Genomic DNA, 15,044 nt, shown 5'->3' with positions numbered 1-15,044 from the left:
CCTGCTAATATTTGTATTTTTTTTTGTAAAGATGAGGTTTTGCCATTTGTCCCAGGCTGGTCTCAAACTCCCGAGCTCAAGCCATCTTGCCTGCCATGGCTTCCCAAAGTTCTGGGACTACAGGCAGGAGCCACTGCGTCCAGCCTGGTTTTGGACTCTTGGTCTTGGGTTTGGCCAAAACTTTGGTGGTTCAGATGGACTCTTGTAGATTTTAAGGAGAATTGAAGTTTTGTGGCTTAAGCTGAACTGCTGTTCTCAATGCCCGTGCTGGTCCGAATGCCCATGCTGGTCCCTATAGCCCTTCATCTACTGTGGCTGGTCTTGTAGGTCTGTTTTATTTGCTGTAGGAGCCTTTGCCTGTGCTTGTAGCTATCACCGTAGCATTCAACACACCTCTGCTGTATCCCCTGAAGACGCCGAAACGTGGTATTCTCACCCCAAAGAGTTTCCACCCTGATAAGTTCCAGCAAGGCAGCCCAGCAGCTACGCCTGCAGACACTTGTTGGTAGGAAGAAGTGTCAGATGATCTGTAACACTGTGCGTTGATCCTGCATGTCTGAAGAACTTCACAGAATTGTCGCATGGTGAGCAGTGATACTAAGCAAAGCTGAGTCACCCGTAAGCTCCCAGGCCCTCAGCCCGGCAAGTAGGACGGTATTTTCACACCTCTGTTGATGAAGCACCTCAGATAGCTCAAGTTTTTGGAGACAGCCTCGTAGGAGTTTTAGTTTAACCATAATCTGCTTGCGGATCACTGATGTTTCCATGAGTCATTCCCTGAGATTGTAGTGAAGAAAACAGATACTATCCCATTCGCTTCTTTGCAAAATACCCACAAAGCCACATGCATTTTCATACTGAACATCTTGGGATACCATTTATTTTCCTGCAGGATTATATCATAGTTTAGGGTTGAGTGTGCCTCCAGGAGTCATCAGCTAAGCTTCCTGTTTTGTGGATAGAGAATACGGGAGGACATCTGATCCCCTATGACTGCCAGCATCAGGCCTGGGATTGTGGTTGTCCAATGGTGCTTTTAGGGGGCAAAAATGCACAGCTGTTTATTGAAACAACAAATGTTCCAGGCTGGGCACGGTGACTCACGCCTGTAACCCCAGCACTTTGGGAGGCCGAGGCGGGTGGATCACCTGAGGTCAGGAGTTTGAGACCAGCCTGGCTGTTATGGTGGAACCCTGTCTCTACTAAAAATACAAAAATTAGCCGGGTGTAGTGTTGGGCATCTGTAATTCCAGCTACTCAGGAGGCTGAGGCTGGAGAATCGCTTGAATCGAGGAGGTGGAGGTTGCAGTGAGTTGGGATTGCGCCACTGCACTCCAGCCTGGGCGACAGAGTAAGGGCAGGGAGGGCTCTCAGTCTGGTAGTCTCACCCAGGTGGTCCAGGGTTCCAGCACTGAGAGCCAGGATGCCAACTCCCAATGCATCATCAGCCTCCTCTTCAGCCATGCAGGAAGTCAGGGCTGGTCCCAGTGGTTAATCCAGACACCAGAGTGCATAGCATGGCCCTCCCCATGTCCAGCACACTGGCCTTTCACTGTACCATGTCCTCTTTCTCCCATTGGGTGGCCTGTGTTGCTTTCTCAATCTCCAAGTCTGTGTCAGCAAGGAAGTGTTCCATCCTTTACTGAGTCATGACCTGTCTGAGGCTGACAAGTGCCAGAGCTCATGTTATTCAGGCATATTTATAAGCAGGTGTTTTTATTTAAAGACTTAGTCCACATATTACAAGTATTCTGATGGACTCATCAAAGCAGATAGGGAAAGTTGGCCAGTCTCATTTTGAATGTTACGATGTAGCCGAACATTTACAAAACTGTCTTTGACTTTCTTTCTTTTTAATTTTACTCTAAGTTCTGGGATACATGTGCAGAACGTGCAGGTTCGTTACATAGGTGTGCGTGTGCCATGGTGGTTTGCTGCGCCTATCAACCAATCTTCTACGTTTTAAGCCCTGCATGCATTAAGTATTTGCCCTGATGCCCTCCCTCCCCTTGCCCCCAGCTCCCTGACAGGCCCCGGTGTGTGATGTTCCCTTCCCTGTGTCCATGTGTTCTCATTGTTCAACTCCCACTTATGAGTGAAAACAGGCAGTGTTTGGTTTTCTGTTCCTCTGTTAGTTTGCTGAGAATAACAGTTTCCAGCTTCATCCATGTCCCTGCAGAGGAGATGAACTCATCCTTTTTTATGGCTGCATAGTATTCCATAGTGTCTACATACCACATTTTCTTTATCCAGTCTTATCATTGATGGACATTTGGGTTGGTTCCAAGTCTTTGCTGTTATAAATAGTATTGCAATAAACATACGTGTTGAAATTTTTATTTTATCACGGTCAAACGCTTACCATGAGAGCCACCCTCTTGACAAAGTGTTACATGTATAATACGGTCTTGTTAACTCTAGGCACAACTGCTGTGGTGTGCACAGTTGTACCCAGACTGCAGAACTGATTCATGTTATATACCAAAACCTTATACTTGTGGAACAGCATCTCCCTACGTCCCTCTCTCCTCATCTTCTGAAAACCATCATTCTACTGTCTGCTTCTGTGAATTTGACTATTTTAGATTCTACATGTCAGTGACATCATGCGGTATTTGTCTCTCTGTGTCTGGTGTATTTCACGTTAACATCCCCCAGGTTCATCCATGTTGTGGCAAATGACAGAATTCCCTTCTTTTTAAGGCTGCGTGGTATTCCATTGTCTGTATGTACTGCATTTTCTTTCTTTTTTTGAGATGGAGTCTTGCTCTGTCACCCAGGCTGCAGTGCAGTGGCGTGATCTCGGCTCACTGCAACCTCCGCCTCCCAAGTTCAAATGATTCTCCTGCCTCAGCCTCTGGAGTAGCTGAGACTACAGGCACCCGCCACCATGCCCGGCTAATTTTTGTACTTCTTAGTAGAGACGGTGTTTCCCCATGTTGGCCAGGCTGGTCTCAAACTCCTAACTAACTGCAAGTGATCTGCCTGCCTCAGCCTCCCAAAGTGCTGGGATACCAGGCGTGGGCCACTGCACCTGGCCAATTACGTTCTTTTTTTATTTTTTTTCTTGAGACAGAGTCTCTGTCGCCCAGGCTGGAGTGCAGTGGCGCGATCTCGGCTTACTGCAAGCTCCACCTCCCAGGTTCACGCCATTCTCCTGCTTCAGCCTCCTGAGTAGCTGGGACTGCAGGCGCCTGCCACCACGCCTGGCTAATTTTTTTGTATTTTTAGTGGAAACGGGGTTTCACCCTGTTAGCCAGGATGGTCTCGATCTGACCTCGTGATCCGCCCGCCTCGGCCTCCCAAAGTGCTGGAATTACAGGCGTGAGCCACCTTGCTCAGCCCAATTACCTTCCGTTTAAGGCTGTAAAGTATCCCATTGTGTGTATTTACAGCATTTTCTTTATTTCTTTCTTTGAGACTGAGTGTCACTCTGTCGCCCAGTCTGGAGTGCAGTGGCGTGATCTCAGCTCACTGCAACCTCCGCCTCCCAAGTTCAAGTGATTCTCTTGCCTCAGCCTCCCAAGTAGCTGAGATTACAGGTGCCTGCCACCATGCCCGGCTAATTTTTGTACTTCTTAGTGGACACGGGGTTTCACCATGTTGGCTGGGCTGGTCTCAAACTCCTAACTAACTGCAAGTGATCCACCCGCCTCAGTCTCCCAAGGTGCTGGGATTCCAGGCACCGCGCCTGGCCCAACTACCTTCTTTTGAAGGCTGCATAGTATCCCATTGTGTGCGTGTACCGCATTTTCTTTTTTTTTTGTTTGAGACGGAGTGTCAGTCTGTCGCCAGGCCTGAGCCACCGCACCCAGCTGTACCGCATTTTCTTCATCCATTCATCTATTGAACGCTTGGGTTCATTCCATATCTTGGTGATTGTGAATACTGCTGCCATAAACATGGGGGTGCAAATGTCTCTCATAGACCGATTTATCTTTTGGATAAATACCTAGAAGCATGCTTGCTGGATCATCGAGTAGTTCTATTTTTAATTTTTTTGAGGAACGTCCGTACCATTTACTGTATTCACCCATTTCTGCAGGAAACAGTGGCAGAGGAACACAAGTTTTCTTCTTCCCTGTCCCAGCTGTGCAAAAAGAGACCCACAGCCGGGCGCGGTGGCTCATGCTTGTAATCCCAGCACTTTGGGAGGCTGAGGCAAGCGGAGCACCTGAGGTCAGGAGTTTGAGACCAGCTTGGCCAACGTGGTGAAATGTCGTCTCTACTAAAAATACAAAAATTAGCTGAGTGTGGTCGTGGGTGCCTGAAATCCCAGTTACGTGGGAGGCTGAGGAGGGAGAATACCTTGAACCTGGGAGGCGGAGGTTGCCGTGAGCCGAGATCGTGCCACTGCACTCCAGCCTGGGCAACAGGCTCTCTCAACAAAACAAAATAAAAAAAAAAAAAATAAAAATAAGAGACCCACAAGGGCTTTGGACCTCCTTTCTTTGCAAAACAAGAAAATAATATAGCAGACATTGGGCAGTTTTTCATTCTGACTTTCCAGTTTCATTTTTGCTTCTTCCTGTATGGTTGCTGCCTGGACCTCTTTCTTATTGCTGGGAGGTCTTTCCCCTGCCCCCATCCTTTTGAGCCTTTCTATCTACTTTTCTTTTGAAAGAAAGTAAATAAAACCCCACACATCCAGACAATAGGAGCGCACGCCTCAGAATTCTGGCTGCGAGGGACTGACCCCATCCAGAGAGAACGAACAAATGCATCAAAACCCTGGCTGCAAGCGACTGACCCCAGCTTGATCCACTTAAGCCAGAAGAGCCTTTGCTTCTATGTTTAATCTGCACCAAGCTTAGTGATCACTTTCTTCTCAGAGGCCAGAACACAGAGTCCAACCTTTCCAGGATGCCAGCTTCCTATCTCTGGGGTCTCCTCTTCCTGCAGAGAAGCTTTAGTCTCTTACCCGAGCTGCTTCTCTATTCTCTTTTGCCTTGCTTTGCCTATAATACTAACACACTGTCTTTTTCTTATGTTACGTTGGACTATCCCAAGGCAGGGACCCAATTGGCCTGGCTTGGGTTCCCTGCCTGACTGTGGGTTTGGCTGAGGAGTGGGCAGCAATTTCCAGCCGTTGGCACTGCCAGAACGCATGGGTGTATGGGGTTTCTGGAGGCAGCAGCTCTATAGTGAAGCAGATATGTAGGGGGTGTTCATTACCAAGACAGCAGTGATTGTCCACGAGCAGGGTGGTTCCAACAGGGAGCCTACAGTCTAACTGCAGATGGATGCTACCATTTTACATGTCCCATGTATGACATCCATGTACCGTATGTTGCTGGACACCGCATTATGGCAACTGAAAAACAAAAAGGCATTAAATGCCTGGGAAAATGTACAGCTCATTACATCTCATATGGTTTGGCTCTGTCCCCACTCAAATCTTATTTATTTATTTAGAGACAGAGTCTCGCTCACTCAGGCTGGAGTGCCGTGGCATGATCTCGGCTCACTACAGCCTCCACCTCCTGGGTTCCAGCGATTCTCCTGCCTCAGCCTTTTAATTAGCTGGGATTACAGGTGCCCGCCACCATGCACGGCTAATTTTTGTGTTTTTACTAGAGACGGGCTTTTGCCAAATTGGCCAAGCTGGTCTTGAACTCCTGAGCTCAGGTGATCCACCTGTGTTGGCCTCCCAAAGTGCTGGGATTACAGGCGTGAGCCACCGCGCCCGGCCCCAAATCTCATCTTGTATTCCCACCTGTTGTGGGAGGGACCCAGTGGGAGGTAACCGAATCATGGGGGCAGGTCTTTGCCCTGCTGTTCTCATGATAGTGAGTAAGTTTTATGAGATCTGATGGTTATTATAAAGGGGAGTTTCCTGCACATGCTCTCTTCTCTTGTCTGTCACAATGTGAGACGTGCCTTTCACCTTTTGCTTTCCACCATGATTGTGAGGCTTCCCCAGCCACGTGGAACTGTAAGTCCAGTTAAACCTTTCTTTTCTAAATTGCCCATTCTCAGATATGTCTTTATCTACAGCATGAAAACATACTTATACTTTATTTATCCATCCTTATCTATATCAAATACTATTTGACCATAGATTGTGTAAAGACAATATGGCACAGAGACACCATGGAATACTATGCAGCCATAAAAAAGAATGAGTTCATGTCCTTTGCAGGGACATGGATGAAGCTGGAAACCATCATTCTCAGCAAACTATCACAAGGACAGAAAACCAAACACCTCATGTTCTCACTCATAAGTGGGAGTTGAACAATGAGAACACATGGACACAGGGAGGGGAACATCACACACTGGGGCCTGTCGGGGAGTAGGGGACTGGGGGAGGGATAGCATTAGGAGAAATACCTAATGTAGATGACGGGTTGATAGGTGCAGCAAACCACCATGGCACATGGATACCTATGTAACCTGCATGTTCTGCACATGTACCCCAGGACTTAAAGTATTAAACAACAACAACAAAAAAAAAACCAGACTCATACAACATCCCTACAAACAGGAAAAATGGGGAGGGGAACATGGGAGTCACCTTGTAGTTTACTTAGATTTGCTGTGAGAAGAAGCTATGGGAGGCTTTCCAAAGGCTGCGGGAAGGATTTGGGCTATCTTCAGGAGATTGAGCTTGACAGCAGCTTCAAGGCGCCTTGTGGGAGGGGAGGCTGGGGGCAGGAAAATCAGGTGGGTGAAAAATACACTGATTTGCAGAGAAATGGTGCCAGCCTGGACTGTGAAAACAGAGACGAGAAAAACCACACTCGGCAATATTTGAGCACGTATTAAATCCTGGATGGCACATTGCATTTTTATGGATGTCATTCCTAAGAGATTCACAGTCAGGGGAAGATGGTACATAACAACTCGGGCATGTCAGATGCACCTCTGTAGCTGCGTGTCCAGATGCCATGGAGTGAGATGCCTGGTTTTGCTCATAGAGTTAGAAACATTATCAGAAAATACATGTATTTGAGTTAAATTTTAGAGAGTGAGTAGAAATTCATCGGGTCTACAAGGAGGCAAAGAGCTTTCCTGGATGAAATTCCTCCTTGGCGTTCACCTAAAACTTACTAATTTCTTACAGAACAAGGATACCACGGGAGGTGGGTGCCGCAGAACCAGGGAACTGTGTGTCTGAGTCAAGATACTGCAGAGAAATAGAACCAATATGATGTGTGTACTGATAGAAAGCACATTTATTTTAAGGAATTTTGCTCATATGGTGATGGAGGCTGGCAAGTCTCAAGATGTATGGGGTAGACCAGCCAGCTGGAGACCCAGGGAGGAGCTGATGATGTAGTTGGAGTCCAAAGTCCATCTGTTGGCAGAATCCCTTCTGGCTCAGGTAACATTAGTCTTCTGTTCTAGTCAGACCTTCAACTGATTGGACCAGGCCCACCCACCATAGGAAGGACAAATTGCTTTACTCAAAGTGTACTGATTTAGATTTTTTTTTTTTTTTTTTTGAGACAGAGTTTCACTCTTGTTGCCCAGGCTGGGGTACGATGCGATCTCGGTGCGATCTTGGCTCAATGCAACTTCTATCTCCCAGGTTTGAGCAATTCTTCTGCCTCATCCTCCCGAGTAGTTGTGATTATAGGCACACACCACCACGCCCAGCTAATTTATTTTTATTTTTTTGGTAGAGACAAGGTTTCACCATGTTGGCCAGGCTGATCTCAAACTCCTGACCTCAGATGATCCACCTGCCTCAGCTGCCCAAAGTGCTGGGATTATAGGTGTGAGCCACTGCACCCAGCCCAGTCTTTTGTTCTATTATGACCTTCAACTGATTAGACCAGGCCTACCCACCAATTCCTTTACTCAAAGTCTCCTGATTTCGATATTTATCTCATTTAAAGCAACCTCAAAGAAACACCCAGAAGAACATTTAATCACATATGTGGGCACCATGGCTCAGCCAAGTGGACTTATAAAATCAAGGATCAAGGGTGCCTCAGAACAAGAGTACCCAGACAGAACACAAGTTGGGCAGTATTTCAAGAGGCAGGGGAAGCCATGGAAGCTGCTCTGAGGGGACTTGTGATCAGGTGTGTATGTTAGGGAGGTCACTGTGGCAGCAGGGTATAGGGTAGACTGCAGGGGTCTTGTGGCCTCTGTCTCTGTCACAGGCCAAGTCATATTCAAATTTATAAAATTCAAAATTTTTACATCATTAATTTGAAATTTTATTAAATAAATACAGTATATATATATATATATATATATATATATATATATATATATATGCTTCTTTTTATATACTTTAAGTTCTGGGGTACATGTGCAGAACGTGCAGGTTTGTTACATAGGTATACATGTGCCATGGTGGGTTGCTGCACCCATCAACCCATCATCTACATTAGGTATTTCTCCTAATGCTATACCTCCACTAGCCCCTGACCCCCTGACAGACCCTGGTGTGTGATGTTCCCCACCCTGTGTCCATGTGTTCTCATTGTTCAACTCTCACTTATGAGTGAGAACATGTGGTGTTTGCTTTTCTGTTCTTGTGTTAGTTTGCTGAGAATGATGGTTTCCAGCTTCATCCATGTCCCTGCAAAGGACATGAACCCATCCTTTTTATGGCTGCATAGTATTCCATGGTGTGTCTGTGTACCACATTTTCTTTATCCAGTCTGTGGTCGTATAGTATTTCTGGTTCTGGATTCTTGAGGAATCGCCACACTGTCTTCCACAATGGTTGAACTAATTTACACTCTCAATAACAGTGTAAAAGCGTTCCTATTTCTCCACATCCTCTCCAGCATCTCTCGTTTCCTGACTTTTTTAGTGATCGCCATTCTAACTGGCATAAGTTGGTATTTCATTGTGGTTTTGATTTGCATTTCTCTAATGACCCGTGATGATGGGCTAAAAATTCAGAGAAAATGTAATAAAATGTTTAATCTAGCTCAAGTATCCTTCCTTTGTTGAATCAGTTTTCACCTTTTCTGTCTTTCCTGCTGGCTGGCTTGCTGGAGCCCGCTCTCATGAGTGGTGCAAGGTCAGAGATAGAAAACCAGGCCCATGTATGGTTGTGTCTTTTCACAAGTTCAGCCTTTTATTGATGCTATTTCAGTTTACAGAAGCCCCAAGATGCACGGAGTTTTCAAGGAGGCAATTCTCCTTAGGACTTCCCATTTAGTACTGAAATGGCTTGAGCCCTTGGAGTACTGGAGCCTGTGTGCCGGCAGCATTTAGTCAGAGCTACAGGCGCACAGGCTCCTGCTGTGACCCAAGTCAGTCAGTATTGCAACCTATACATACTAATACACTTCACCAATATATGCATGTTATAGATTAAACATTCTACATCAAACAACGTAACATTTATCATCAAGAGAAAAGGGGTAGGAAAAAGCTTAACAAAGGAGCACAGGGATATTGATGTGGACAAAAAAAAGTCTCCTGGCCTGGCCCTGGAGGGCCATCAGTGGTCGCCATCTTGCAAGGAAGAGCCTTTGATATCAGTGGGGCAGAGCCTTTTGCGGTGGATGCTGCGTAATGATTACAAGTGACAGCAAGATGGCATCTGTTAAGGTAGCCATTTGGAGCTGCTGAAGCCCTGTTCTTTCATGACCACAGAGTCCTCTGGTGAGGATTGACAATGGAAGAGGGTGTTTGGTTGTGTCCTTAACTGTTTGGATGTGGTCTTTATTGATCAGGTGAACATCTGGCTCCTGTAGGCATGATGCCTTTTGAATGAAATGTAACATGGAATCTTTTTCTAAGGTGGAGTCACTTATGTCAAGCGTGCTCTACACACTCACTGTAAGAATTAAAGAGGAAAGAAGCATGAAATGTCACTTGACAGTTAAACACAGGTTTATTTTAGAGAAACCTGAGAGGGGCTTCTGGCTGAGTTAGGTCAGAGCTCTTCTCTCTTATAGACTAAGCACATTTAAGGGTTTTGGAAGGGGGTGCTTATCATAGGTTCAGAATGTTTGTATGTGAGGGAGAGTTTATTGCAGGGTTGAATATCTCTGGTCAGAGGGGAGGCTGTCTCAGGGTTGGTATGTTTTTGGTCGGAGACGGGTTTATCTTAGGGTTGGAATGTTTCTGGTTATGCTGACATGAGTCATGAGGCTGATGTTTTCGGGCTGGATTTAGGCGGTTTTTAATCAAGGGGAGCCTAGAATGGTGGTGTTTGTTCAAGATGGCCATGCTCCCGCTCTGTCACCCACAACCTGAAGACCGTTATCATATTGATTTTGTATCTCCTGTGCGTACCTGATGGAGAATGACTGAATGTTTGAATTAAAAGACTCAGGGAGAAGGCAAAGTTGTGTTTAAGTTGCAAGTTGAAAAAAACAATCCATTGGCTCTGTTAGCAGCTATTAGAGAGGTTGGGGCGGGAGCAGAGTCTGTAGCTTAACTTTGCTTTTGTTATGTCGATGCTATGAGCGTGGGAATCATGGAAACTGTGAATAAATGGAAGAGAGTCTGTCAGTGACCTACTGCTGCATCTTGGGCCAGCCCAGGCATCCGTGAGTGTTCAGGGAGACCTCGGGAGAGTTCTCAGGCAGAAACTAGCCACTCACATGCTTGTCATCTGCGGGGTTGACATGGTGGGCTATTTTTATGCTCAGACACTTGGGAGAAAGGGCAGGCTGTACCCAAAGGCAGATAAGTGCTGGCCAGATGGGCTTGCTGGGCACCGTCGAACTCATGGTCACCGTCCTGCCCAGGAGCTAGAAATAGAACTAGCCCCGGGACAATCCGTGAGGTATCAGGTGAGTATGGCCCGATACATGTGACTCAGAGACACAAGGAGTGAGGGTGTGTGCTCTGTCTCAATGAGAGAAGAGAGAAGTCAGGGCTTGCTTTGGCAACACCAAATGCAGATATCAGACTCCTATTCAGAAACCAGAATTCTCATCTCAGCATTTATTTTCTGGATATGTGGCCGACAGATAGGCATCTCTGTTTATAATGCCTTTAATTTTGATCTTGACAAGGACTAGAGGAAGCTCTTACTGAACCTTCACGCCCACAAACAAAAGCTTCTAAATCGGCCGGGCGAGGTGGCTCACGCCTGTAATCCCAGCACATTGGGAGGCCGAGGCGGACAGATCACCTGAGGTCAGGGGTTTGAAACCAGCCTGGCCAACATGGTGAAACCCCATGTCTACTAAAAATACAAAAAATTAGCCGGGAGTGGTAGCGGGCATCTGTAGTCCCAGATACTTGGGAGGCTAAGGCAGGAGAGTTACTTGAACCCAGGAGGTAGAGGTTGCGGTGAGCTGACATCACGCCATTGCGCTCCAGCCTGGGCAGTAAGAGTGAAACTCCATTTAAAAACAAAACAAAACAAACAAAAAAACTTCTAAATCACATTCAGGAAGCATTTTGTAATATTTTATTTCTTATCAGGGAGCATTTTGTAATATTTTATTTCTTCTCAACCCCTGTAGTGGATTGAATGGTGCCTCTATTTTACCCCCACCCCCACCAAAAAAAAAAAAAAGACAAGTTCACCTTGAATCTGTACATGTGATTTTTTATTTGGAAATAAGGTCTTTGCAGATGTAAAAAAGGATCTGGAGATGAGATCATCCTGGATTGCAGTGGATCCTAAATCTAATGACAGGTGTCCTTGTAAGAGACGGAAGAGGAGACACAGACACAGAGGAGAAGGCCACGTGGAGACGGAGGCAGAGACTGGAGTGATGCGGCCATAAGCCCAGGGATGCCTGGAGCCCCCAGGAGCTGGGAGAGGCAGGAAGAATTCTTCCCTAGAGCAGGGAGCATGTCCCTGTAGGCACCTCGATTTCACAGATGTAGTCTCCAGGACTGGGAGAGGTTAAATGGCTGCTTTTGTAAGCTCCCTAGTTTGGGGTCATGGGTTACAGTGGTCCCATCCCAACCTGTAAGCTCTGGAGAACATGAGTCTGGAATGCAAGCGTGTGCGGTGATTCAGCTTGATGCCTGTGGTGGGAAAAGAGCCCCTTGTATTATGGCTTCCTGCTGTGTGTAAGTAAAACCAGTCCTCTGAGGAAATCAAAGCCCAGTAAACCCGTGCACCCTAACTTCCCAGGATCGCAAACTGGAGAGAGAGCGGCAGCCATTTTCTCCCCCTGCCTTGATTTGCTGAACCTGCCACCCGTGCAGCATTTCCCAGGAGGCTAACCTGGTGATATTGTCCATTCTTGGTCCTCCGCAATGCAGGCAATATTCGTTGCTCAGCTCAAATGCTTGCGTCTCCTCTTTCTTCTCTCCACCTGCAAAACATCTTTTCATAGGTCCCATTGGGAACACCAGCTCGTTGGCTGGTATTTCCACACTCTTTTTCCTTCCTTTTGTTGCTTCATCTACCTCTGATTTGCCAGTTGTCTGATGTCTCCTCTCACGAGCCTATCTTTCTCCCAAGCCTAGTAGACACGAACCATTGAAAGCATCCTTGAATGACAAAAGTCCAAATATCAATTTGCAAGGTGAAGACTGTGGCTTTTATTATTTGTTCTCAATGGCGGGTGTCTGGCGGGGAGTCCAGTCGCCTGACGTTGAATGCAGTCATTTCCTAGGTGTGGGTCAAGATTCTGATGTCCACAGGCAATAATGTCCGTGAACGTGTGTATGTACCTTGATGGACATTACTGACTGTGGACTCCAGAACATTGGACATTGTATATATTGATGGACATCATATATATATATACACACACACACACAGACAGACGCACACACACACCATGGAATACTACACAGCCACAAAAAAGAATGAATTAACAGCATTTGCAGTGACCTGGATGAGACTGGAGACTATTACTTTTTTTATTATTATACTTTAAGTTCTGGGGTACATGTGCAGGACGTGCAGTTTTTGTTACATAGGTATACATGTGCCATGGTGGTTTGCTGCACCCCTCAACCCGTCATCTACATTAGATACTTGTCCTAATACTATCACTCCCCTAGCCCCCCACCCCTCGACAGGCCCCAGTGTGTGATGTTCCCCTCCCCGTGTCCATGTGTTCTTATTGTTCAGCTCCCACTTATGAGTGAGAACATGTGGTGTTTGGTTTTCTGTTCTTGTGTTAGTTTGCTGAGAAGAATGGTTTCCAGCTTTATTAAAAGTCAGGAAACAACAGATGCTAGAGAGGATGTGGAGAAATAGGAATGGTTTTACACTGTTGGTGGGAGTGTAAATTAGTTCAACCATTGTGGAAGACAGTGTGGGGATTCCTCAAGGATCTAGAACCAGAAATACCATTTGACCCAGTAATCACATGACTGAGTATATACCCAAAGGATTATAAATCATTCTACTATAAAGACACATGCACACGTATGTTTATTGTGGCACTATTCACATAGCAAAGACTTGGAACCAACCCAAATGCCCATCAATGATAGAATGTATAAAGAAAATGTGGCACATAGACACCATGGAATACTATGCAGCCATAAAAAAGGACAAGTTCATGTCCTTTGGAGACTATTACTCTAAGTGAAGTAACTCAGGAATGGAAAACCAAACATCGTCTGTTGTCACTGATACGTGGAAGCTAAGCTATGAGGACACAAAGGCATGAGAATGATACAATGGACTTTGGGGACTTGGGGAGAGCTTGGGAGGGGGCAGCGAGGGATAAAAGACTACAAATAGTGTGGAATGTGTACTGCTTGGGTAATGGGTGCACCAAAATCTCACAAATCACCACTAAAGAACTTACTCGTGATCGGATGTGGTGGCTCACACCTGTAATCCCAACAGTTTGGGAGGCTGAGGCGAGCGGATTACCTTAAGTCAGGAGTTCAAGACCAGCCTGGCCAACATGGTGAAACCCTGTCTATACTAAAAATACAAAAGGAATTAGCCAGGCCTGGTGGCACACACCTGTAATCCCAGCTGCTTGGGAGGCTGAGGTAGGAGAATTGCTTGAGCGTGGGAGGTGGAGGTTGCAGTGAGCCGAGATCATGCCACTGCGCTCCAGCCTGGCTGACAGAGCGAGACTCTGTCTCAGAAAAAAATAAAAAGAACTTACTTATATAACCAGATACTGCCTGTAACCCAATAAGTTATGGAAAATTAAAGAAAAACACACAAAAAGAGTATATTCAGGATCACTTAAGTAAGCATGATACTACATCACATCTCGTTGCGGAAATTATATGGATTATCATTCCATGAGTGTACCAGCTTCCGGAAGTTTCTGAGCTCATATGGGGAGTGGGAAGTAGGTGGTCTCGTGGGAACTGCAGGGCTGGCCCCTTGTCAGGACGGTCATCACTAGTGACATAAATACCCCATGGTAGAGAGAGCTGGGGTGTCTTCGTCGGTTTTGTGTCACTAGAAAGGAACACTGGAGGCTGGATAATTTATAGAGGAAAGAGGTTTATTTGGGTTATGATTCTGCAGGCTGTACAAGAAGCACAGGGCCAGCATCTGTCTCTGCTGAGGACCTCAGGAGGCTTCCACTCATGGTGGAACGGGAAGGGGAGCTGGTATGTGTACAGAGACCACACGAAGAGACAGGAGGGAAGACAGACGGGAGACGCCAGGCTCTATTTAACAACCAGCCTGTGGAGAACTCATAGAGTAAAAACTCACTCATGCTTCAAGAAAGGACATTGATCTCTTCAGGAAGAATCCATCGTCCGTTGCTCAAACCCCTCCCATTCGACCTCCCATCCAGCACTGAGGCTTACATTTTAACCTGAGTTTGGGAGAGGAGGAATTTTAAAGCAGAGCCTGTAGATTCTAAAGCAAAATATTCTGGGTCTCCTGCTTGTAGAATGGTTGTGAGTGTGACTTCCTTTTTCTATTTTTATTTTATTTTTTTGAAACAGAGTCTCGCTCTGTTGCACAGGCTGGAGTGCAATGGCACTGTCTCGGCTCGCCGCAACCTTCATCTCCCAGGTTCAAGCGATTCTCCTGCCTCAGCCTCCCAAGTAGCTGGGATTACAGGCGCGCACCACCATGCCTGGCTAATTTTTGCATTTTTAGTAGAGACGGGGTTTCACCATGTTGACCAGGCTGGTCTTGAACTCCTGACCTCGGGTGATCTGCTGGCCTCGGCCTCCCAAAATGTTGGGATTACAGGCATGAGCCACCA

The 15,044-nt window shown here is 46.3% G+C and overlaps 1 protein-coding gene across 1 annotated transcript in view; it reads left to right on the top strand.

Moving 5' to 3' along the window:
- DHRSX (dehydrogenase/reductase X-linked) overlaps window positions 1-15,044 on the top strand; it is a 281,471-nt gene that overhangs the window by 147,873 nt on the left and 118,554 nt on the right. The gene's annotated exons all lie outside the window — the stretch shown is intronic.

Source organism: Homo sapiens, chromosome X, assembly GCF_000001405.40.
Source record: "Homo sapiens chromosome X, GRCh38.p14 Primary Assembly".
NCBI lineage: Eukaryota > Metazoa > Chordata > Mammalia > Primates > Hominidae > Homo > Homo sapiens.
Note: the sequence above shows the minus strand (reverse complement) of the source record. Positions and strands in the feature narration are given on the sequence as shown.